This window comes from Homo sapiens, chromosome 17, assembly GCF_000001405.40.
Source record: "Homo sapiens chromosome 17, GRCh38.p14 Primary Assembly".
In the NCBI taxonomy this organism is placed as follows: Eukaryota; Metazoa; Chordata; class Mammalia; order Primates; family Hominidae; genus Homo; species Homo sapiens.
In genome coordinates this window covers 16,782,623-16,807,352 of record NC_000017.11, presented here as the reverse complement: position 1 = coordinate 16,807,352, position 24,730 = coordinate 16,782,623, and the positions used below count along the sequence as shown (strand labels likewise).

At 42.6% G+C, this 24,730-nt stretch overlaps 1 long non-coding RNA gene and 2 pseudogenes across 2 annotated transcripts; 1 reads left to right on the top strand and 2 right to left on the bottom strand.

Moving 5' to 3' along the window:
* Window positions 1-2,847: 2,847 nt before the first annotated feature.
* On the bottom strand, window positions 2,848-20,461 carry USP32P1 (ubiquitin specific peptidase 32 pseudogene 1; annotated as a pseudogene). Its single transcript, NR_003190.2, has 8 exons — window positions 20,231-20,461; window positions 19,218-19,418; window positions 15,300-15,526; window positions 11,119-11,310; window positions 8,823-9,111; window positions 6,982-7,402; window positions 6,225-6,317; window positions 2,848-5,094 (listed from the first exon to the last, which is right to left on the bottom strand). The product of NR_003190.2 is annotated as a ubiquitin specific peptidase 32 pseudogene 1 (transcript).
* FAM106C (family with sequence similarity 106 member C) lies at window positions 16,852-18,474 on the bottom strand. The gene has a single exon (NR_170993.1). It is a non-coding gene; the product is annotated as a family with sequence similarity 106 member C (long non-coding RNA).
* On the top strand, window positions 19,114-20,219 carry SRP68P1 (signal recognition particle 68 pseudogene 1; annotated as a pseudogene).
* Window positions 20,462-24,730: the final 4,269 nt, after the last annotated feature.

Genomic DNA, 24,730 nt, shown 5'->3' with positions numbered 1-24,730 from the left:
CAAAGCCTTTAGAGCTTACTAATTCTGATATTTGGAGGCCTTTGCAAGGTTTAATTCAATTTATTATTTACTGATGACCTACCGTGTACCAGACATTGCACTAGGTACTGGGAATACAAAGGGAATCAAATGTCCTAGTGTTGTATTGGGAAGGGAGGGTCACATTCTTGCATGTGTCTGTGTTTGGGGATGAGATGAGTGAGGGGCAGGCCTGCAGGGATAGAGCAATTGCATACTCGGTGTCACCTGGGTCCCGAGGGGCAGGACGAAGGACAGATTAAGGAAGGCTTCCTGGAGGAGGTGGCTCCTAAGCTGTCAAGTAGGCTAAGAAATGCTCTATGCATGGGCTACCCACTTCCATACACTCGCCACACACACTGACTCACATGCACTCACACACAAACTCCCGCCCACACTCACACATCCGCATCCACACACACACTCACAGCATGTATACCTATTCCATCCACACACACACTCACATGCATCCACACACAATCTCCCACCCACACTCACACATCCGCATCCACACACACATTCACAGGCATGTATACCTACTCCATCCACACACACACTCACATGCACTCACAATCTCCCACCCACACTCACAATGCACATCCACACACACACTCACAGCATGTATACCTACTCCATCCACACACACATATAGGCAAATTCACACACACCCACACATGTGCACAGGCACCTACACACACACACACACCACATATTGTAGTATTTTTCTGGAGAAACAGAGAAACAGTCACTCTTTTGAAGAACCTCAGAAACTGCACAAGAAGAGCTCTTAATTTATCATCAAAATTCAGATAAAGTTGAGGTCTAACTTCCAAGAAGATCTAGACTGTTTTCCAGATTGTTATAAATGCATCTTCGGACATGAAGGAGCACCTCACGGTTGCATTCAGATACCTCCTAGGATGTGATTTAGTCTTGATGATTATCATTACATGTCAGTGAATATAGTTTGATGGAAACTTTTAGGGAAACAAAAATTTTCAGAAACTGTGTCCAGATTTACTGTAGTAGTAGTAAACTCTGAGGATACATTTTTTGACCAGGCAACTATTGTTGGGGGCCCTATACCTGACTTGGAGAGGTGTGTTCGTGCCTTTTAGGTAAGATGAGGAATAGAGGGCCCTCAGACTTAAGAGCTACATGTGATATTTGAGATAAATTGATCCTTAACATTTTTCCCAAGTCAGAGTTCTCATTACTTGTCTCCTTGATGCCAATAGAGTAAAATGCAAAATGGCTCAAAGCCCCTCCCTTTCAACTGGCCACATCCTGGCTTTCCTGGGCTCTTTCTACTGAACCAAGCTCTGTGTTCCAAGAAATCATCCTGTCCTCAAATCTCTGTACCTCGTTCTCTGCCGAAGCCATGCCCAAGCAGTTCCCTTTGCCTGGTATGTTTCCCTCTCTCATTTTCCTGCAACACTGCCCCTCAACGTCTTCAATGTGAAGTTCCAGCCCCTCCTTCTAGAAGCTTCCAGAAGCCAGTATTGGGCTTTGGCATTAAACAGCCTGTGTTCAAACTCCACCTCTGTCATTGACAGGGTGACTCTGAGTATGTGGGTCCTTTTGAGCCTCTGTTTTCTAATCTTTAAAAAAAAGGGAGGGGAAAATATTTACTTCACACTTTTATTTAGTTTGTCAAAGATTAAATGAGACAATGTGAGTGAAACTGACCAGCATACAGGAGATAGTCAAGAAATAGTTCAGTGGATAATGGCATTTCTCTCCTGATGAAGTTGGATTAACCCTCTCTTCTACAGTCCGGAACGATCTGTACCTTATACAGCTGCCTTGGATCTGAGGTTTCTGGGTTTGTGAGGTGGGCTCATCTCGGTCTCTTGCCTGGCGACTTTAGCATAATCCTTGCTCAAAAATTTAAATTAAATGAAGTAGACTCTTTGGGTATCGCTTTCTTTTTTTCTGCCACATTCCTTCTAACAGCCACCGAGCCTGAAGACAGCAAAGCTGCCCAGACTTTTCTCCTGGGTTCCAGCCCCTCCTGTCTGACTGCTCAAAAGAATCTCAGCAAGCAGGTCTCACAGGCACCTCAAATCCAGCCTGTGTAAACCTGAGCTGCCTGGGTCCACACTCCTATATCCTAGAACCATGGTTCTCAAATGTGGGTGTTTTTGCCCCCCAGGTTACATTTGGCAGGGTCTGGGGATGTTTTTCTTTGTCATGACTCAGACAGAGGGTCCTTCCTGGCGTCTTGTAGGCAGAGGTCAGGGGTGCTGCTGAACATCCCACACTGCATAGGACAGTCTCCGTAACAAGGAATGATCCTGCCCCAAGTGTCACTAGTGCTGGGTTGAGAAATCCTGATCGAGAGGGAGCCTTTACCTGGTAGGTCAGGCCATTGCACTGCTCTGCTCACCATCCCCCGGGACTGGTGTTGTGGAAGACAATTTTCCACGGACTGGGGGGATGGGGGGAATGGTTTCAGGATCAAACTGTTCCACCTCAAATCATCAGGCATTAGATTCTCATAAGGAGGGCACAACCTAGATTGCTAGCATGCGCAGTTCACAATAGGGTTCGTTCTCCTGCGAGAATGGCATGCCGCTGCTGATCTAACAGGAGGCAGAGCTCAGGCGGTAATGGGAGCAAGGGGGAGCGGCTATAAATACAGCTCACCGCTCACCTGCTGCTGTGCAGCCCGGTTCCTAACAGGCCATGGACGGTGCTGGTCTGTAGCCCAGGAGTTAGGGAATCCTGCTCTACAGAGTTTCCAACCTCAGAGATGAAGCATCCCCTCTGTAAGTCAGAAAGAAATTATTCAAGTAGGAGAATTAAAACAGGATCACAGAGAGGGAGGCTGAAGAATTTGACATTCTGTGTTTACTTGTATGAGGAAAAACAGTACATAGAGGCATCCACAGTATTTAATTTGTTTGGATAATAGTTACAGATAAATAGGTACACCCCATATACAATTACCAATACTTTTTATACAGTTCATATTTCAGTACATCAACACTATTTTATTTACACTCTATTTATGCACATTAACATCTTTCTAAAGTCAGTGCATTGTCAACAAGTTTTATACAGTCATTTACAAGGTGAATGTGGTTAATAGTTAATTTAATAAATTTTCCGCTAGTTCATGAATTAAAAAAATTAATTACAACCAGTATAACAAACACAGATCAAACAACATTAGTAGATTGTGCTACCTGCTTAAATAAAACATCTGTAAAGAAATTATTTAAAATCTCCCACTTTTTAATGGGACATGTCCAGGTAGGAAAGGACAGATTTTATGTACTGAAAATCTTGAAACTATAAAGTATGCATTTTGTCTGACTTTATTACATTAGATAATTTAGGCCACTCCTACCTATTTGCAATTATATTTTTTCTGAAAAGGATTTCAATTTAGGTAGCCATTTAAGATAACCTTTCCAAATGCTCTGAGAACTAGACATTAATAGTTACTGGCCTCAGATATCAGAACACAAATGCTTAGTTACACTGGTAATTACTACCTATGAGGAAGAAAGTGTAGTGGAATCTGACAATTAATGAGAATCAACTTGCAGGGTCTAAATGAATAAACAAAGACCAAAAATAAGGTGAAACATTTCCTTCAAGTATATATTAAAAAACTACACGAAAAAAATTCTACCTGAAATAAATAATATTTATACTTTTGTGCCAGTCTTGAATAATTAGAGGAAAAAATGAAGTAAACAAAGAAACATAACTTTCAATGACTACTGTAAAATTTTTTAAAAAAGACTAATATCAAAATAAAAAAATTAGTGGACATGCAAACAAAGCAAAACTAAAGTTGACTTCCTAAAACCACCAATTTCATTAAATATACTTATGAACTCCTAATGTCTGGGATGTGTTTTGTTTGTAATTTATAGCCCTTAGAGCCATCAAATACACACAAGCAAGTTCATTTGCATGCGTTCTCTCTTTTTTAAAGTGCAAAATAAACACGGAAAAGAACAACCACTAATTGTGAAACGTGATCTAGCTCCGATGCTGCTTACCTTCCCAGAAGCTCTTGTTGCAACATGTGCATGTGAAGATGGTGCAAATATTGGCAACTGCTCCCCTTCCCTCAGCATGGGCGGGGCCGGGGGTGCAGAATACATTTCTGAGGATACTTGAAGTATCCTAAATGTAAGATGCCTCCACTGGGAGGGCCATGGTAGCTGGATTTCCCAGGATGTTTTTCTTTCTACTGGGTCTCCCTCTGGGTGGAAGGCACATAGCTCTTAAGAGAGCCTCCCTTTCAGACTGACCACTCTATGCCCCTGCCACCAATGACTGGTTGTATCTCAAACATAAACACAAAGGCAAAAACAAAAAGCAAGAAAGACAAAGAAAGGGTATGGAAACTTTAAAAAATAAATTGAAAAATCCTCGCCCATGCCGTAAGAATCATTTGCACACCTTCATGATCTTGCTTTCTCCATCTTGTCAACAGAATGGAATAAAACTTCAGGAAAAAGGAGGTAGCATATCATGTCATCCCTAGACAACATTATAATTTTTTGTTTTTTACTTTGACTCCAAGGAAATCTTTAATATTTGTTATGATTATTGATAAACTCTATACTCACTACATATTTGTTCATATCTGGACAAGCACAATTGAATTCTTATTTGGTCCCAGGTGGCTGGTGCCAAACCTTTTGTTTACAGGCTAATGGTGGGATCTGCCTGAAAGTTCTCTATCAGACAACTTGCATGAGACTTCAAAATAAAATTACTACTACTCTTAAAGTTAACTATTTTAATTAGAATTTGTATTCTAACAGGATAAAATAACTACATTTAGCTTGCCTCTCAGTGACATCTTTGCCAAGTATCAGCTACAAGGAGTCATCTCCCTCCCCACCAAGCTGTCTAGCAGCCAGAGTGGTAGCTTTGCTGTAACACACAGTACTTTTTGTAATCAGACTCAAAGTCTTCATCCATACTGCTTGTGTCTGCCATCTTTTTGCCATCAATCTTTGGCAGAAATTGTGCGTAGTCTATCCTCTGCTGCTCATAGAAAAGAATGTAGGCAGAGTTGGTGTCAATTTCATCAGGGTGACGTTCCTGAAAGGGCAAGAAAAACCTTTAACAAAAAGCCATCACTATTATGGCTCTAAATCCTTGCCAGGAAAGGGAAGACCAACCCTCTGTAATTACTAAACCTGATTGCTTCCAATAAGCTCGCTAGTTTGGCTGTCTCACACCTGCCCCTTTAAAATGAGCCCCATTATTTCCAATGTTTGCTTTGGAGAAAATATTTTGACCATAGACAAGTCAAAACAGAATGACCTAAAACCCCATCAAATTCTATTTATTTATTTTGTATTTATTTATTTTTTTGAGATGGAGTCTTGCTCTGTCACCAGGCTGGTGTGCACTGGCACGATCTCAGCTCACTGCAACCTCTGCCTCCTGGGTTCAAGTGATTCTCCTGCCTCAGCCTCCTGAGTAGCTGGGACTACAGGCATGTGCCACCACGCCTGGCTAATTTTTTGTATTTTTAGTAGAGACGGGCTTTCACCATATTAGCCAGGATGGTCTCGATCTCCTGACTTCATCATCTGCCCACCTTGGCCTCCCAAAGTGCTGGGATTACAGGCGTGAGCCACTGCACTTGGTCCAACCCCATCAAATTCTAAGTCTATAAGATAGGAGTTTTTTGCATTAACTAACTCCTTTTTTTTTTTTTTTTTTTTTGAGACAGAGTCTTGCTCTGTTGCCCAGGCTGGAGTGCAGCGGTGCAGTCTTGGCTCACTGCAACCTCCACCTCCCAGGTTCAAGCCATTCTCCTGCCTCAGCCTCCTGAGTAGCTGGGATTACAGGCATGTGCCAACATGCCCAACTAATTTTTGTATTTTTAGCAGAGATGGGGTTTCACCATGTTGGCCAGTCTGGTCTTGAACTCCTGACATCAAGTGATCCACCTCCTAAGCCTGCCTCAGCCTCCCAAAGTGCTGGGATTACAGGCATGAGCCACTGCGCCCGGTCAACTAACTCTTTATTTTTCCTCGCTACTCATGTTTTCATTCCCTATTCTGCATATCACTTTTGTTTCTTTAATACTGACAGCATCTATATATTGATTCTAACAGAAATATCTATTTCCTATTCAAGAGATAGTCCATTATTTCAAAAAATGTTCCCCAGTTCTGTTGATTGTTTCTAACTTTCATTCAAAGATTGAGAATGTTTACCTCACAGATGCTGCCATTGTAGCAGTACCACTTGCAGTTTGGGTTTTTGGCATAAGTGACGTAATGGCCCCCACTCAGAATTCCTGAATGGCACTGTAAGAGATAAGAGAGTGGATGTATGTTAGTAGTTAACTGTACTATGGCCAGGGTATAGCACTAGGATCTGAGCAGGAGAACAGTGATCATGTAAATGATCAGTAGGTGAGAAAATATTTTAGAACCCTCTAACTTTCTCTAAAACCAAAATAAGCAAAAAGCAAAATACAAAAGTCATAAGCTCCAAGTCTTGTGTGGATAAACAATCATTTTATAATGTAATTACTATTATTATTATTATTTTGAGACAGGGGCTTGCTCTATCACCCAGGCTGGGGTGCAGTCGAGTGATCACAACTCTCTAAAGACTTGGCCTCCTGGGCTCAGGTGATCCTTCTGCCTCAGCCTTCCAAGTAGCTGGGACCACAGGCAATGCCACCATACCTCGCTCCATTTTAAAATTATTTGTAGAGATGGGGCCCAGGCTGGTCTCAAACTCCTGGGCTCAAGCGATCCTTCTGCCTCAGCCTTCTAAAGTGCTGGGATTACAGGTGTGAGCCACCACACCTGGGCAGGCCCAGATTTCTATGTTAACTTTCTCTATCACTAAGCTCAATGCTAGGAAATAAGCAGGACCTGAAAAATACTTGCTGATGAATACATGAAGACAAGTGAACAAAACACAGACCACTCTCCGAAAACCATACAATAAACCACTTACTGAAATTGCATATAAATAGGCTTAATATGAGTGTCTTCTCTTTGGTCATCAGTGCTGTCTTCTTCACTGTGGTTTCCAAGCTGACCATTGCTATAGCCATTGCCATATGCTTCATGCTCATAAAGGAATCCATTGGCCAAAGCTACCTCATGGTCCTGAGGAGTGACCAGCTCTGGTTGGCTGCCCACCCCCCGCATATGCCCTCGGCTCAAGGCGTCAGCCAGCTCACAGATCTGCCCAGCCCCATTCTCTTTGCTGGCATCCAAGTTCTTCTTACTACTTGACAGTTTATTTTTGCTGCCAATCTGGGGCAGCCAGAGCCTCCCTTTGCTCCTCCCCAAAGTCCGTGGGCTGCTATTAGGGCTGCTGTTTTTGCTGGAGGGACAGCTGGTTCCACTTTTTCTTGATGAAGAAGGAGAACCTGTGAACAGGACAGAAGAAAAGATTCACAAATCCAAATGCCACAAAGTAAGCCAGCCCCAAATGCTAACTCTGAGGTTAGCTTCACAAATGTGCACACAAAGGTAAAGACAGGGGAGTCGTGACTGGCTACCCTTTAGTTCCTATTGTGTAGCAGGTAAGTTACATTTTTGTCTTCTTCAATGCCGAGTCCCTATAAGCAACAATGTCCTGAAAATGTAAAGTAGGTTATAGGGACTCAGAAAATAGCAGAAAGATGATTTATGTCAGATTCAGTTGAAAAAAATCTAATTATTAAGAGTAAGGAGTTTTCCAAATACATATTCCTCTCCTTTGTAAAATTAGACAAAAAATGCGACCACCATTTACTGAGTACTTCCTATTGTTAGGCATGGTACTGGGAATTTCTTGCTGTCCATTGTTACCTCTATGTCTCACAAAAATCCTGTAAGGCTTTAAACTTTTTGGTTATAGCCTCTTACCCCTACCCCCTTTTATACCTTTAAAAATTACTGAGAACCTTTAGAACTTTTATGTGAATTTTATCTATCAATATTTCCTGTATTAGAAACTAAAACTGAGGCATGAAAAAGTACAATACATTAGCACAGATCTTCACTGTCAAAGTGACGATATTATTCCACGTCATGTTGTCTCTTACACCATTGTACATCTGTGAGAGAATAAAAGTGAAAAGGCACATATTGTCTTAGTATTTTTATGAAAATAGTTTTGGGCCAGGCACAGTGGCTCACACCTGTAATCCCAGCAGTTTAGGAGGCCGAAGCAGGAGGTTCACTTGGGTGCAGGAGTTCGAGCCCAGCCTGGGAAACATGGCGAAGCACCATCTCTACAAAATATACAAAAATTAGCTAGGTGCAGTGGTGCGTGCCTGTAGTCCCAGCTACTCAGGAGGCTGAGGTGGGAGGATTGATTGACCCCAGGAGGTCGAGGCTGCAGTGAGCTGTGATCTGTGTTGCACCACTGCACTCCAGCCTGGGTGACAGAGTGAGAACCTGTCTCAAAAAAATAAAAAATAAAATAAATAAATAAATAAAGAGTTTTGATCCTCTAGACCCCCTGAAAGATGGGGAACCTCAGAACTTTCACTATAAGGGGACAAGACAGCAGCTACCATTCCTGTTTACCATACATCAGGCACTGTGTGAAGTGCTTTACTCTCCATGTGTCAAACTCTCAACTCTGTAAACCTGGCATTATCTCCATTTTACAGATGAGAAAATAGATTCAGGGAGGCTGAATCTCTTGATAAAACTTACAAAGCTCAAATACAGATAGGTCTGATTCCAGATAGGTTCCTTCCACCCAACCAACCTGATGTTCCAGAACAGAAGACAGAGAAACATATGTAGCCTACAGGAGTCCCAAGAAAGCAACTGCATAAGGCCCCCAGGCCTCACCTTTTGGGCTGCTGCTGATGTTAGCGCTGAGTGAGGATGGGCTTTTGCTCAGGAGCATGTCCTATTCCCCAGCCAAACTCTGCACATCCACTTTCTTCACCTCTCTTGCCAGAATCCTGGGCTTGGAGAGCTCATCCCCCTGGGGTGTGAGTGGTTGATGCTGGCAGAGAGCCGGGTCTCGTGGTACCAAAAAAGCACTCAGGTCAAAACTTTCCCGAGGAAATTTGACAATTTTCTGTGATTTTATCCACTGATCATTTACAAACTGAAATCACTTAAGGTGAATAATCTGGAGAAGTAAAGGTAGAAAACATTGCATTAAAGCGTTCTGAAGATACAAAATTTACATGGAAAAAACAAGTCAAATACATGTGAATGTTTGGGAATATATAACAGAACATTTACTCTTCATTATTTTTTAAAGACTTCAAAAATATGGTTTCCTAAAGGCCTCTACACAGGCCCCAGTGCACTGGTGTGCTTGTGCACACACTCAACTCAGCAGCGTGGCACAGCCACGTGACTGCGCAGTGGGTACTGCCTCCAGGCTCAGTTGCTCTTCTAGAGTCCACAAAGGGCTAGCCTGAGCTTCCACTCTCCACAGAGCCAGAAGTTCACCCTCTCCTGAAGTTCAAATTCACCACGTTGTACCCCTTGTGGCAGTTCTCACATCACACTGAATTGCAGTTACTGGGCTACATGACCGCTCTGCTTGTTTTATTTGATGATTATATGAAAATATATACTTGTTAAAATTCATCAAACTGGATATTAAAAATCTATGCTTTTAATTGTATGTTAATTATACCTCAATTTTTTTAAAAATGTCTCCCCCTTGGCCAGGCATGGTGGCTCACACCTGTAATCCCCACACTTTGGGAGGCCGAGGTAGGTGGATCACGAGGTCAGGAGATCGAGACCATCCTGGCTAACACAGTGAATCCTCGTCTCTACTAAAAAAAAAAAAATAAAAAACACACACAAAATTAGTCAGGCGTGGTGGTGGGCGCCTGTAGTCCCAGCTACACGGGAGGCTAAGGCAGGAGAATGGTGTGAACCTGGGAGGTGGGGCTTGCAGTGAACTGAGATCTTGCCACTGCACTCCAGCCTGGGCGACAGAGCGAGATTCCATCTCAAAAGAAAAAAAAAAGGTCTCCCCCTCCTCCCCACCCACCTTGTCCCCAAGCCTGCCCCTTCCCTCTAGTTCTTATCTGTGGAGCTAGCTGACAACCAGTGTTATTAATTTCTTGTGCATCATTCCCTGGGAAGCTGTTCTGGTCTAAGAAAAACCTACATTCAGCTTCACAGAGTAGTGTGACAGAGACATGATTAGAATAAGAAAATACGGCTGGGCATGGTGGCTCATGCCTGTAATTCCAGCACTTTGGGAGGCCAAGGTGGGCGGATCACCTGAGGTCAGGAATTCGAGACCAGCCTGGCCAACATGGTGAAACCCCATCTCTACTAAAAGTACAAAAATTAGCCAGGTGGTAGTGGTGCATGCCTGTAATCTCAGCTACTCAGGAGACTGAGGCAAGAGAATCACTTGAGCCCAAGAGGTGGATGTTGCGGTGAGCTGAGATTACAACACTGCACTACAGCCTGGGTGACACAGTGAGACCCTGTCTCCGAAAAAAAAAAAAAAAAAAAAGAAAGAACATACATATAAATATCTGATTAAAATAGGCCAGTACCTTACAGTTACACTGATCTTAATGAATAGGAAGATTTGTCATTTCAAACTCTCCTGACAAACAAAAGGACAGTCTCCTAATCCATGAAGGGAGAAGGCAGAAGTAAATTAAATCTAAAAGAACACACAGGCCCTAGTGCACTGGTGTGCTTGTGCACACACACTCAACTCAGCAGCGTGCCACAGCCACATGACTATGTGCAGTGGGTGTTGGGGGCTCCGGGCTCAGTTGCTCTTCTAGAGTCCACAAAGGGCTAGCCTGAGCTTCCTCTCTCCACAGAGCCAGAAGTTCACCCTCTCCTGAAGTTCAAATTCACCACGTTGTAACCCTTGTGGCAGTTCTCACATCACACTGAATTGCAGTTACTGGTCTACATGATTGATCTCTTCTTCTAGGTTGTAAGTTCTTTAGGAAAAGGAACTACCAAATATTTGTAGAAAGATTCATCTCTGTATTCAACATAAAAACCTTGTACAGAAAGTGTTTTAAACACTGCTGCAGGAAAAGTCTTATTCTCAAAAATAACAAAACCTCCTGTTTGTTCATGTCTTCTTTCTTTTATGCTAGATTCCTGCTCTCTCAGAGGCAGGACTGTAACATACCAGGAAGGGTGGAAGCCTCCAGAGATCCAGCTTCTTTGTTGCTAAGCAGTGGGTCTTACACTTGGAACAGTAGTACATCTCATCTTCCCCTAGCTCTTCCTCACCGGTGAAAGCACGGAGACAGCTGTCCAGGTTGATGGGCTCGACTTGCGCTCGCCGACTCTGCTCCACACTCTCATGCTCATCTACAACCTGTAGGTGGAGGGAACAGGAGGAAAGGGGTGTGTGGGAAGGCATTTAAACTGGTGATCTAGCTATGCATCAACCTCTCGGTCACTCACCCTTATTTTACTCTATATAAGGAAAAAGAAAATATAACTGGCTGGGTATGGTGGCTCAGGCCTGTAATCCCAGCACTTTAGGATGCTGAGGTGGGGGGAATTGCTTGAGTCCAGGAGTTCGAAACCAGCCTGGCCAACAGAGACCCTGTCTATGTGAAAGAAAAACCTAAAAATTAGCTGGGCGTTGTGGCGCATGTCTCTAGTCCCAGCTACTCAGGAGGATTGCTTGAGCCTGGGAGTAGAGGTTGCAGTGAGCTGTGATTACGCCACTGCACTGCAGCCCAGATGACAGAGAGAGACCCTGTCTCAAAAAAAAAAAAAAAAAAAGGGAAAAGAAAACACAACCCAAACTAGAGTCTGAGCAAATACAGCACCTACACATTTATTCACAAATGTTACATTGTAACATTCTGGATAAAATTTCTATTTATATGATCATAGCTTTTCTTGAAAAATTTTTGAATGCTTCAAAATGACAAAAAGAACTGCATTTATTTAACAACTTTGGAATCCTATAAGGGATTACATGTGAGCTGGCCCTCAAGCCAGGGGTGATGATAGTAAGCCATTTATCTTTAATCAGAAAGCCAGAGCATTATTCGTATGCTGCAGAGTTTACAGAGGCTAGGAGAAATAACATGAAACACAGAAACCAGAGCTGGATGAAATAAGGGCACAGAAAAGCTCACCATGAGAAGACAACACAGCAGAGCATGAAACATCACAGGGTACAACTCATTTACATCTGATCCCATGTAACACAGAGTTATCAGAATACCAAGTCTATACTTATCTGTCTCCTCCCTCATGGGGCCTTTTTATCTGAGATGGCAACAAAAGGAAGAACAAGCTCAAGAGTGTGCTGCTTTTGTTGAGAAGGCCCCTAATACCCACCCAAACCTTTGGGGTCCTGTTAATCAGCATGTTAGGCTGTGGAGCAAGAAGGAGTTAAGTGTAAGAAAGGAGAGAGCAAAGAATGGGCGGGGTGCAGGGATATGTGTTGGGGGTGGTGTAGAATGAAGGAGGAGAGAAGGAAGGATCTAGAGTGCAGCAGAAAAGAAAGAATTTTTCCCTCTCCATGCCTGGCTGCTACCTGACAAACAATCAAGAACCATAGAGCTGGGATCCTTCTGTTTGTCCCTCTAATGTATGGGAAGGTGGGTGAAGCATCAGGGTTATGAATGCTACCATAAGACTTCACACAGTTTATATTTGTGTCCCAAAGCAGAGCCCGGACCACAAGGCCCATACTGACTGCCTCTCTGTGGCAAACGTCACATATGTCCATCACCCACCCTATTTATTGCTCCTCACCCTTCCAGAGGTGAACTTCCTCCATGAATTTCCCTTCCTGAAACTCACGATGGGAACCTTAGGCTGCCTGGAATACAAATTGGCACAGCTCAAGACATGCAGCTTAGCATGGGTTTTCAGGCGAGACTTTTTCCCTATGTGAGAGTCACGAGGCTGTCAAATGCTGTTATAAACAAGCAAGGTTGGGTTTGATCATGCAGTTAAGGTTCTAGCACTGCATAATTATCCAGGCTAAAAAGCTCATTTAAAAAGGGGAACTTAGAGGAAAATTCTTTTTTTAGAAAAAGAAATCTGGCTTGGACTTGGGTTATAGACTTCTTTTTTGAGTACAAATTCTGTAGTAACAAGATATTAACTGTCATCATCTTTTGAACTGGTCACTCAAGGAAAAAACACGTGCTTCAAAAGGAAACGTGCTGTATCATCGTTGTTGGAATGAGTAGAAAAAGGGGTGTATCATATACGATAGTGTTTCCTTTCTCATGGCCAGTTAAATATTATCTCTATTATCTCTACCAGGAATACTTTATGGCCAACCACAAATTAGAGTAAGCTAGTAAAGAATGTTGAATTTTATTGACTATATTTTCTGGGGAACACAGGCTACAGTGCTAGAGGAAGACAGGGAGGAAAGATGGCTGATAAACAACATATTTGTGGACTGTACTGACAGTAATTTCTATTTATCAGTAAAAGTTCCCAAAGTGATAAAGATTCCCTTTACCTCTTGGGATCTATGCTTAGATCCTCTACTATTGTTTAAACAGTCTATGAATTACTTATAGGCACCCTCTTCTTTTTCAGAGTTGCTTTAAAGCTCATCTTAACACAAAACACAGGAAATGAAGTAATAGTCTTCATATAAGACTATTAAAAAAAAAAAGAGAGACAGGCTTAAGAATTTGTCTAGTTTAATTTTCTTTTTTTCTTTTTTTTTCTTTTTTTTTTTTGAGACAGGGTCTTGCTTTGTTACCCAGGCTGGAGTGCAGTGGCGAGATCACAGCTCACTGCAGCCTTGATCTCTTGGGCTCAAGCAATCCTCCAACCTCAGCCTCCCAAGCAGCTGGGACTATAGGTGCACAACACCACACCTGGCTAATTTGTGCATTTTTTGTAAAGACAGGGTGACATCATATTGCCCAGGCTGGCATCTAGTTTAATTTTCTACTGAGGAATCTGAGGTCCAAACAGGAGAGAAATGTAAAGGATAAGAGTGAGTGTCCCTGTATTTTTTTCTGATTACTAGGCATAATATTCATGTGGAAATTTTGGAAAGCAGAGAAAAATGTAAAAAGGCATGGAATCCTTTTATATTCTTAATACAAAGGCAACCACTGTCAAAATTTTGGCAGATTTTCTTCTGTCCTTTTTCCTAAATAGTATTTTTTTCAATATTGAAGGTATTATTTCCAGTATATGCAACTTTATGTCTTGTTTTTAAAAAAATGTTCACATATCATAAGCATGTTCCCATAAATGTTAGCAAAAACTCCTGGTAATCATTTTCAACAACTGCATTATAGTTTATCCAATGAATACACCATGCTTTATTTAACCATTCCTCTAATGTGAGACAAATATAAGTTGTTAATAACTTTTTACTCTCCTAAAAAATGCTATGATGATATTTGCCTGCAAATTATGGAGTAATTACAGAGTATTCTCCCCTCAGATAAATTCCTAAAAGGGAAATCACTGGAATAAAAAATATAAAACATATGGACAATAATCCCAATTTAAAAAGATGTTAATGTATATAAATAGAGTGTAAATAAAACAGTGTTGATGTACTGAAATATGAACTGTATAAAAAGTATTGGTAATTGTATATGGGGTGTACCTGTTTATCTGTAACTGTTATCCAAACAAATTAATTACTGTGGATGCCTCTATGTGCTGTTTTTCCTCATACAAGTAAACACAGAATGTCAAATTCTTCAGCTTCCCTCTCTGTGATCCTGTTTTAATTCTCCTACTTGAATAATTTCTTTCTGACTTACAGAGGGGATGCTTCATCTCTGAGGTTGGAAACTCTGTAGAGCAGGATTCCCTAACTCCTGGGCTACAGACCAGCACCGTCCATGGCCTGTTAGGAACCGGGCTGCACAGCAGCAGGTGAGCGGTGAGCTGTATTTATAGCCGCTCCCCCTTGCTCCCATTACCGCCTGAGCTCTGCCTCCTGTTAGATCAGCAGCGGCATGCCATTCTCGCAGGAGAACGAACCCTATTGTGAACTGCGCATGCTAGCAATCTAGGTTGTGCCCTCCTTACGAGAATTTAATGCCTGATGATTTGAGGTGGAACAGTTTGATCCTGAAACCATTCCCCCCATCCCCCCAGTCCGTGGAAAATTGTCTTCCACAACACCAGTCCCTGGTGCCAAAAAGGTTGGCAACCACTGATGTAGAACAAGATCCCTACAGTGGGTACTACCCTACAGAGGTACTACTACAGAGGGTAGAACAAGATCCCTCCAGTGACCAGGTGACTTTAAACATGGCTCACATCCCTTTTAGAAAGTTATGGCAGGGAAGCAAGTAGAGAGCAGGTGGTAAACTGAGGATTGGTGCCTACATCGGTACCTACACTGGGTCCTACAGTCACTTTTGTGCAGATCAGGAGATGAGGTGAAGAGAAGGAAAGCTTCTCATTTGCATAATGCCTTGAAATGACCCGAGGTTTCTAGGGGGCACCGAGAAACCAGAGATGTCCCTTGTTGTCTGTCTGGGAGATCCAAGGGGACAGTTGGCAGTGTTGAGAAGAGATAAAGGTGACAGCTGTAGGTCCTTCACCCTCAGCTTCTATTTGTTCACCTATAAAATTAAAATACCGAACACTCAGGCTTGTAAGAATTAAATGAAGGACACAAATGCCTGGCACAGTTGCTTGGTAAGTGCTCAATCCAACGATACTCAAACCTATTTTACAAAAAGGGTTTTTTTTGTTTGTTTTGTTGTTTGTTTTTTTACCTCCTTGCTACACTGATGCTAAAAGAGTTTAATAGTCCTCTGGTCACATTTTCCAAAAACAAGAATACACATTAAAAATGTATAAAATGGGCCAGGCCCAGTAGCTTACGCCTGTAATCCCAGCACTTTGGAAGGCCAAGGCAGGCAGATCACCTAAGGTTGAGAGTTCCAGACCAGCCTGACCAACATGGAGAAACCCCGTCTCTACTAAAAATACAAAATAGCCGGGTGTGGTGGTGCATGCCTGAAAACCCAGCTACTTGGGAGGCTGAGGCAGGAGAATTGCTTGAACCTGGGAGGCAGAGGTTGCAGTGAGCCGAGGTCACGCCATTGCACTGCAGCCTGGGCAACAAGAGCGAAACTGTCTCAAAAAAAAAAAAAAAGTATAAAATGAAACATGTTGAATCAGCAGCAGTGGCAGCTTGTTTAAGGAAAGGAACAAACAAAATTAATACAGAAAGTCAAAAAATGAAGCACAACTCTTTTAAGTGCCAGTCTGTTTTTAGGTTTCTTTCTTTCTTTTTTTTTTTTTAAATAGAGACAGGGTCTCTGTTGCCCAGGCCGGAATGCAGTGAGGTAATCACAGCTCACTGCAGCCTCGACCTCCCAGGCTCAAGCAATCCTCCCACCTCAGCCTCCCCAGTAGCTGGGACCACAGATGTGCACCATCACACCCAGCTAATTTTTGTATTTTTTGTAGAGATGGGGTTTCACCATGTTGCCCAGGCTGGTCTTGAACTCCTCAGCTCAAGCTATCTGCCCACCTCAGCTTCCCAAAGTGCAGTGATTACAAGTGTGAGCTGCCATGGCTGGCCAAGGCTGTCTTTTAAAAAGCTAAAAATGTGTTGGTTCAAGACCAGTCTGAGCAATATGGCGAGACCTCATTTCTACTAAAAAGAAAAAAAAAAATCAGCTGGGTGTGGTGGCCCATGCCTGTAGTCATTCCAGCTACTCGAAAGGCTGAAGTGGGAGGATCGCTTGAAACCAGAAGGTTGAGGTTGCAGTGAGCCTTGATTGTGCCACTGCACTCCGGCCTGGGTGACAGTGAGACCTTGTCTCAAAAAGCCTCGGAAGGAGTGGCCTAGGGAGATGAGCAAGCATTTTGTTTCTAGTTTCTGAATGGCCCTGTGCATTGAGAGAGGTCTTCGGCCTCCCAGCCTCTCTGGCTGAAGGTGGCGATTCTGCATGGAGTCTCTCCACCACTTGGTGGCATTGCTCACAGTGACTTCCTACTTCTAAACACCATTGAATTGGAGCAAGTAGATGATTTGCCACATTTTTCCCAGCTAGTTTGGAGGCTGAATACAGAATTTTACTGGGGCACACCAGAATGTGTACGTTGGGGAGCAGCGATCCCCGTTTTCCTTGATAATGTGCCGACAGCTTCCTTAGTATTGAAATCACAAAGTCAGAAATGCACACACCTCTATGATGAGAGATCCATACAGGAGAGAGCAACAAAAAGAGGCCTTTTAAGTTTGCCAGACTTCCTGACCAGTGGGAAGCAAGAGAGTAGATAAGTGTGCAACAGGCACAAACCCAGGCCTATAAGAACCTAGTTGGGAATAGAATGTAAGAGAATGGGGACCGATGGGGACTCTAGTGTGTTCTGGGCACGTGCCCATCTAAAGTCTCCATGTGACTGTTGCCCTGCAGGAATGTGGGCCCCAGTGTTCACCAAACCTTTTTTTTTGTTTGTTTTTTTCCCATGAAGAGAAGCCAGAAACCCAGATATTGATACAAAGTATCCAGTTTAGAAGTGTTGGTAGTTTTTTTAATTTTGAACATTGTGCTGCCCAAAGAAGGTATCTGCAAGCCAGGTACAAACCAGCAGTTCATGCCCTCTGGTGAGCAGAAATGTCGGAGGTCGAATTCTAGTTCTGCTGTTGCAACAGCTGTAAACGAAAGTCTTCAGATTTCCAATGCCCAATGGAAATGCCACTTTATCTCCAAAGGTTATTAAAAGGAATAGTTCATGTATGTAAGTAGGCACAGAGCTTGCCACCTATTAGGTACTCAAAAGCATTCTTCCTTCACTTAAGGAAACAATACAGGCATAATGCAACAATAATGTTATGATCAAGTTCATTATCAGGAGGCATACACCCAAACAATAGGGCAGTGAGCACCTACCACGTACAGAGCTCTCTGCTAGGTTCTCTGGGGGCAGCAGTTCCCAACCTGGCAATTCATCGGCATCGTCGGAATCAGCCAGCAGCTTGTTGGATATGCTGAGTCCAGAGTCCCGCCCATATTACACCTAACGTTCTGTGCCTATTACACCCAGATTTATGAGATCCTCCTCTCCCATGCAGTCAAAGAATCTGCATTCTAATAAGTTCCTCAGAGGAAGCTCTTTTGCAGCCAGTTTGCACTGGTCTGTGGGTTGGTCACTTATGGAAACCACTGCTCCAGGGAATGAATCATGATTTCCAGTCTCATTAGGGAAAGATGATATGCATATGCACACATGTAAAGAGGAGTGACAGTAATTAGCCAAAAGCTCTGTGGACATAATTGCCTCTGATGAAGTGCTGACTGATGACATCAGACAGTAGGCTATTGACAGTGTACCCCGGGGAAAGCTAAATGCAAAAGAGAAGCGAACTGCCTCATGAAGTGAGATCAGGATTACAGGGTCAGAAATGTGGAGAGGGTGATTCAGATGGACAAAGGAGCAGAGGCAGGATTCAAGTGATGTGTTTCGGAGGCAGTGCAGCCTGTTTGTGCTGAGTGGAAGGTGCACGAGGAACATAGTAGACGGTAACATGAAGGCAGGAGCTGTGAAGGCCTTTGAAGGTCAGGCCAGTTGTAATAAAACTATTTCACATTGTCAGGTATCTTGCGATGGTTGCCAAACATTTTTCTATGGTTTGCATAAATACATATCTATTTTATTTATGTATTTATTTATTTTATGTATTTATTTTATTTATTTATTTATTTATTTTTTGAGACGGAGGTTCGCTCTTGTTGCCCAGGCTGGAGTGCAATGGAGCAATCCCAGCTCACTACAACCTCCGCCTCTCAGGTTCAAGCAATTCTCCTGCCTCAGCCTCCTGAGTAGCTGGGATTACAGGCATGAGCCACCACGCCCAGCTAATTTTGTATTTTTAGTAGAGATGGGGTTTTTCTCCATGTTGGTCAGGCTGGTCTTGAACTCCCAGCCTCAGGTGATCCACCCATCTCGGCCTCCCAAAGTGCTGGGATTACAGGCGTGAGTCACTGCACCCAGCCTATTTTAGTTTTCTTTGAGACGGAGTTTCACTCTTGTCGCCCAGGCTGCAGTGAAGTGGCACTATCTCGGCTCACTGAAACCTCCACCTCCCGGATTCAAGTGATTCTCCTGCCTCAGCCTGCCAAGTAGTTGGGATTACAGGGTCCCTTGAAGCCCAGGCCAAATGGCCCTGCTGTGGCCTTGCCCCAACTCACCCCCCCACTTCCTCTGGGTCAGCCCCAACTCGTAGTCCAGTCCTCCCAGTTCCTCTGCTTCTCTGAGTACAACTTGAGCTGATGTGTGGTGCATTCCACCTACCTGACTTACATCAAGCTGTCAATGGCAATCAAGTGTAATGAGAGCATGGCCAAAGGTCTGCAGAGGGCTCTGCTGCAGCAGCAGCCAGAGGATGACAGCAAGTGCTTCCCCCCGGCCCCAGGACCTGATCCGGCTTTATGACATCATCTTACAGCTGACCCTTGAGGACCGGGAAGGCAAGGGCCTGTCGTTTTCCTTTGCCTGTGTCAGACATAAAATGACTTAACTTTGTATCATGGAGGGGCTGTGACAAGCAGGACCTGTTAGTAGCTGGGAAAAGACAAAGGTCTTACACCAGTTCCACAGTCTGTGAGCCCCTACCTCTCAGACATGCTGATCTGCAGAGAATAGTGACCCCAGATCATCACTGAGCACTTCACCTGTGTAAGATGCTCCCAGGTGCCATAGAGCATCTGAGACCTGAATCCATGCCATCTCGGCCCCCAGGGAGTTTGTCAGTCAGTAGGACTGTGAGACACACACAGTCAAGGCATCTGAGTAGATGCTAAGCAAAATAAAAGCTCAGCGCTGGAACAGATCCCTTCCAGCTAAGATGGGCCAAGAAGTCTCTGAAGGCGGGTGAGCTATGAGTTGAGTTGTAAAGGGCAAATCTGTTTCCAAGATGAGAGGGGAATGGAGGTGACAGCAGGTGTGGCTGCTGCCAGGTCACTTCACAGGCTTTTCCCCATTGTATTGACCTCGGGCTTTTTTTTCCTCACCATTGTCTGTTCTTACAAGGTCTTCTGTGAAAAATTCAACCTAAGATCTATTCTTCATGAATTTTCTTGTTGCATCTGTTGTACAGAATCTGGTGGAATTGCTCCAGCTTCCTGGTTTAGAGGAAGACAAAGCCTTCCAGAAAGAGATAGGCCTCAAGATTCTGGTGTTCAAAGCTTACAGGTAACGTCCCATGGGATGGGCAGAGTTTTCCTCTGCCTCCCAGGTTCTGTAAGCATTGGGAGCATGACCCAGCCCACAGCAGATGGGATCATTGGCCTTGAGTGTATGGTTACCTTGCCTGTGATCAGAGGAAGGTCAGCCCAGCACGTTCAAGGGGAGTTTCTAAAGGCTGTGGTCAGTAGTGGCCAGTGATGATGACTGCCCTTTGGCCAGGTTGGAGGAGTGGAGCACACACGTTAAACTTGGCTTCCTCGCTGGGTGTGGTAGCTCACGCTTGTAATCCCAGCACTTTGGGAGGCAAAGGCAGGATTAAAAACTTAAATCTAAAATGAAAACATATTAAAACCTTGGACGATAACCTAGGAAATACCATTGCGGACGTAGGACCTGGAAATGATCTTCATGACAAAGATGCCAAAAGTAATTGCAAGAAAAACAAAAATTGGCAAATGGGACCTAATTAAACTAAAGAGCTTCTTTACGGCAAAAGAAACTATCAACAGAGTGAACAGCTCACAGAAAGGGAGAAAATATTTGCAACCTAGCCATCTGACAAAGGTCTAATATCCAGCATCTGCCAGGAACTTAAATTTACAAGAAAAAAAACAAACAACCCCATCAAAAGTGGGCAAAGGACATGAACAGATACTTTTCAAAAGAAGACATAACATGTGGCCAAGAAGGCTACGAAAAAAATGCTCAAACTCACTAATCATTAGAGAAATGCAAATCAAAACCACAGTGAGACACCATCTCACACCAGTCAGAATGACTATTATTAAAAGGTCAAAAACTAACAGAAGCTGGCAAGGTTGTGGAGAAAAGGGGACGTTTATGCACTTCTGGTGGGAATTTAAACTTGTTTAGTCATTGTGGAAAGCAGTTTGGCGATTTCTCAAAGAACTTAGAATTGCCATTTGATCCAGCAGTCCCATTGCTTTCCCCATTGCTTTTTTTAAGTGGAGTTGTTGAAGGTTGGATGGTTGTAGGTGTGCTGCATTATTTCTTAGCTCTCTATTCTGTTCCATTGGTATATGTGTCTGCTGTTGTAACAGTACCATGCTATTTCTGTTACTGCAGGTTTGTAGTATAGTTTGAAGTCAGCTACCAAACCACCAATGACATTCTTCACAGAATTAGGATAAACTATTTTAAAATTTATATCGAACCCCAAAACAGCTGGAATAGCTAAGGCAATTCTAGCTTACTTTTATAAGAATATAGTGTATAATACATAGAATATACAGCATATATATTAATCAACTTTGTTATGGGTAAGGTTTCTGGTCAACAATAGTTAATCAGGTCAGTCAGCAGTTACATTACAGGGAAGTCAAAATTTAGGCAAATTTTCGGCTGTGTGGGGTTCAGCCCCTCTAACTTCCACATTGTTCAAAGGTCAAGAGTACTGAAAGGGAAAAAAAAACTAAAATGAGCCATGTGTGATTCAACTGGAATTAGAATCACCAGGAAGAACTCATGGTTTTCAGTATATTCTAATATAGAAATATGGATGAATATAAGCATGTATGTTTGTATATTTATCCATCTAGCTGTATTTTTCTGCTCTGTTCACTGAGGAAGCCTATGAGCAATGACAACTCCAATAGCCATACGTATCTACCACAATTACTGCCCAGATATTGGTTTCTAATTACTGTCCCCTAAAGAAAGTCAGGGCTTCTGGAAAAAAATGAAAATGGCTGATTCAAGGGCTAGGGCAGAGAAAATACGAAGTATGGTTGAAACAGCTTATGCCAGAAAGTAAGGAAGTATTCAAAGAACAATAAGGACAGTTCAAAAAGACATGAACTCAGCTTGAAATGGCTACCACTGGTCAAAGCGGAGGGAACCTGAACAGCAAAACAATAAATTTTCCCTTCTCCCCTATTTGTTGGTTGGTTTTGTTTTGTTTTACTTATCCACTTAGAAGGAATGAAAGATGAAGACAATCATGATTTGGCAACCACCATAATAATAACTGACCCAACAAAAATAATCAATGAAATGCTAAATCTAGTGGGTGAGATGTTTAGAGTAACCAGATATTTACAGAGCCTCAAACTATGTTCACGTAAGACATTGGTGAAAAACAAAGGGTAGATAGTCACTTTATCATGGACAGACCTGGTAGATTCTCAAACAAAGCCAACACTGGCCAGTAATGGAGCCAAGTAACAGCATATGCCTCCAGATATGCTGCATTGGGAAGAACTCAGCCTCACTTGTGTGACCTTCCTGCCTGAATGGTATAACCTGAACTGAATCATGAAGAAATATCCTATGAACCCAAACTGAGAGAAAATCCACAAAAAACTGACCCATACTCTTCAAACACATAAATGCCATGAAAATCAAGGAAAGACTCAGGAATCATGCTGGACTAAAAGAGACTAAAAAGACAGAATAATTTGACACAGATCGACCTCCTCCAAAGGCCAGCAACCTCAAACATCAAAGGTAGATAGGCCCACAGAGATGAGAAAGAATCAACGTAAAAATGCTGAAACCTCTCAACATCATGGATTATGAAAGTCAACATCATGGATTGTAAAATCACCCATCTTAAATTATTTGGCTATAAAAAATATTATTGAGACAACTGAAAAAAGTAAAATAAGGTTTATGGATGAGATATTAACAGTAAACCATTTTTAATTTCCTGATTTTGATAGTTATACTATAATTATGCAAGATAATGCATTGTTTTTAGGAGACACACATAAAATTATTTAGAAATAAAGAGGCATCATACCTGCAACTTATAAACCATTCAGAAAAAGTCTATATTATGCACCTACATTTATATTTACCTAGAAAGAGAAGAGGAAAAGGGGGAGAAAGGATAAAGCAAATATAGTAAAATGTTCACATTTGGGGAATAGTATCCAAGAATGTTTTGTAGGTTTCTTACTATTTTTCTATAAGTCTAAAATTGTCAAAATAAAACATTTCTAAAAAGAAAAAAATTGTTAAAAAAATTGTCAAATTATAACCTATTAAATGAAATAAACCACAAGTAAATATCAAATCAAGTAAATGAATAAATTGAGTTTGATGAAGAACAGAGATATCTACATAGTCTCAAATTACCTCCCCACAAAATATTAATATTAATTAATTACAAGGTGAAAAAGTAACATTACAGAGGAGAAAGCTAGCAGACACCACTGTTTGTGATCAATGCCAACATCACCAGTAAAAGGGCAAATCAAAATTGTAGGTCACTCATGTTCTATGGGGCTAACAGAGCTCTAATTTCTTCCCGGGATGGAGTGCCTGAGGGGTGGGGCAGGCTGCCACCTAGGCCTTTCAAGCTTCTCAGCCAATTCAGCCTGTGGGCCTTTGGACAGCCCAAACTGAATGGGAACTGAAGGGATCCCCAACACAGCACAGCTGGTCTACCAAAAAGTAGCCAGAATCATTCTTTAAGCAGGTCCCTTATCCCATTTCTCCTGACTGGAGGAGACCTCCCAACTGGGGTCTCCAGCCACCTCCTTACATGCACTTTCGAGCCAGCAATAAGTCAGTACGCTGCTGGGCTGGAGCTTCCAGAGGAAGTGGCAGGCAGCCATCTTTGCTGTTTCACAGACTTCACTGATGATACCTCCAGCTATGGGAAAAACCGAGGCAACTAGGGTATAGTGCGAACCCCCAGCAAACTGCAGCAGCCCTGCAGAAGAGTGGCCAGACTGTTAAAAGAAAAACAAGCAGGAAACAACAACAATAACAATTTAAAAAGCCACAAAAACCCCATCCTCAAGGTCAAAGTTTAAGATAGACCCACAGAGATGAGAAATAACCCCAAAATCCTGAGGACTCAAAAAGCCAGAATATCCCTGCAACACCTCTCCAGCAAGGGCTCAGAACTGGGTTGAGCCTGAGATGGCTGAAATGACAGAGTAGGCTTCAGAATGTGAATAACAGTGAACTTCAATGACCTAAAGGAGCATCTTGTAACCCAATGCAAAGAAACTAAGAATCATGACAAAACAATACAGGAGCGGACAGCCAAAATAGCCGGTCTAGAGAAAAACATAACTCACCTGTTAGAGCTGAAAAACACACTACAAGAACTTCACAATGAAATCACAATTATTAACAGCAGAATAGCCCAAGAAAAGAATCTCAGAGCTTGAAGACAATCTTTCTGAAATAAGACAGGCAGACAAGAATAGAGATAAAAGAATGAAAAGGAACGAACGATACCATCAAAAAATATGGGATTACATAAAGAGAACGAATCTATGATGGATTGGGGTACCTGAAAAAGACAAGGAGAATGGAACCAAGTTGGAAAACATACTTCAGCATAGGATTCAAGAGAACTAACTTCCCCAGGTTAGTTCTAGCAAGACAGGCCAACACTCAAATTCAAGAAATCCAGAGAACTCCAGTGAGATACTCCACGAGGAGATCATCCCTGAGACACATAATCATCAGATTCTCCAAACTCTAAATGAAAGAAAAAATGTTAAGGGCAGTCAGACAGAAAGGCCAGGTCACCTACAAAGGGAACCCCATCAGATGAACAGCCGACCTCTCAGTGGAAACCCTACAAGTCAGAAGATACTGGGAACCAATATTCAACATTCTTAAAGAAAAGAATTTCC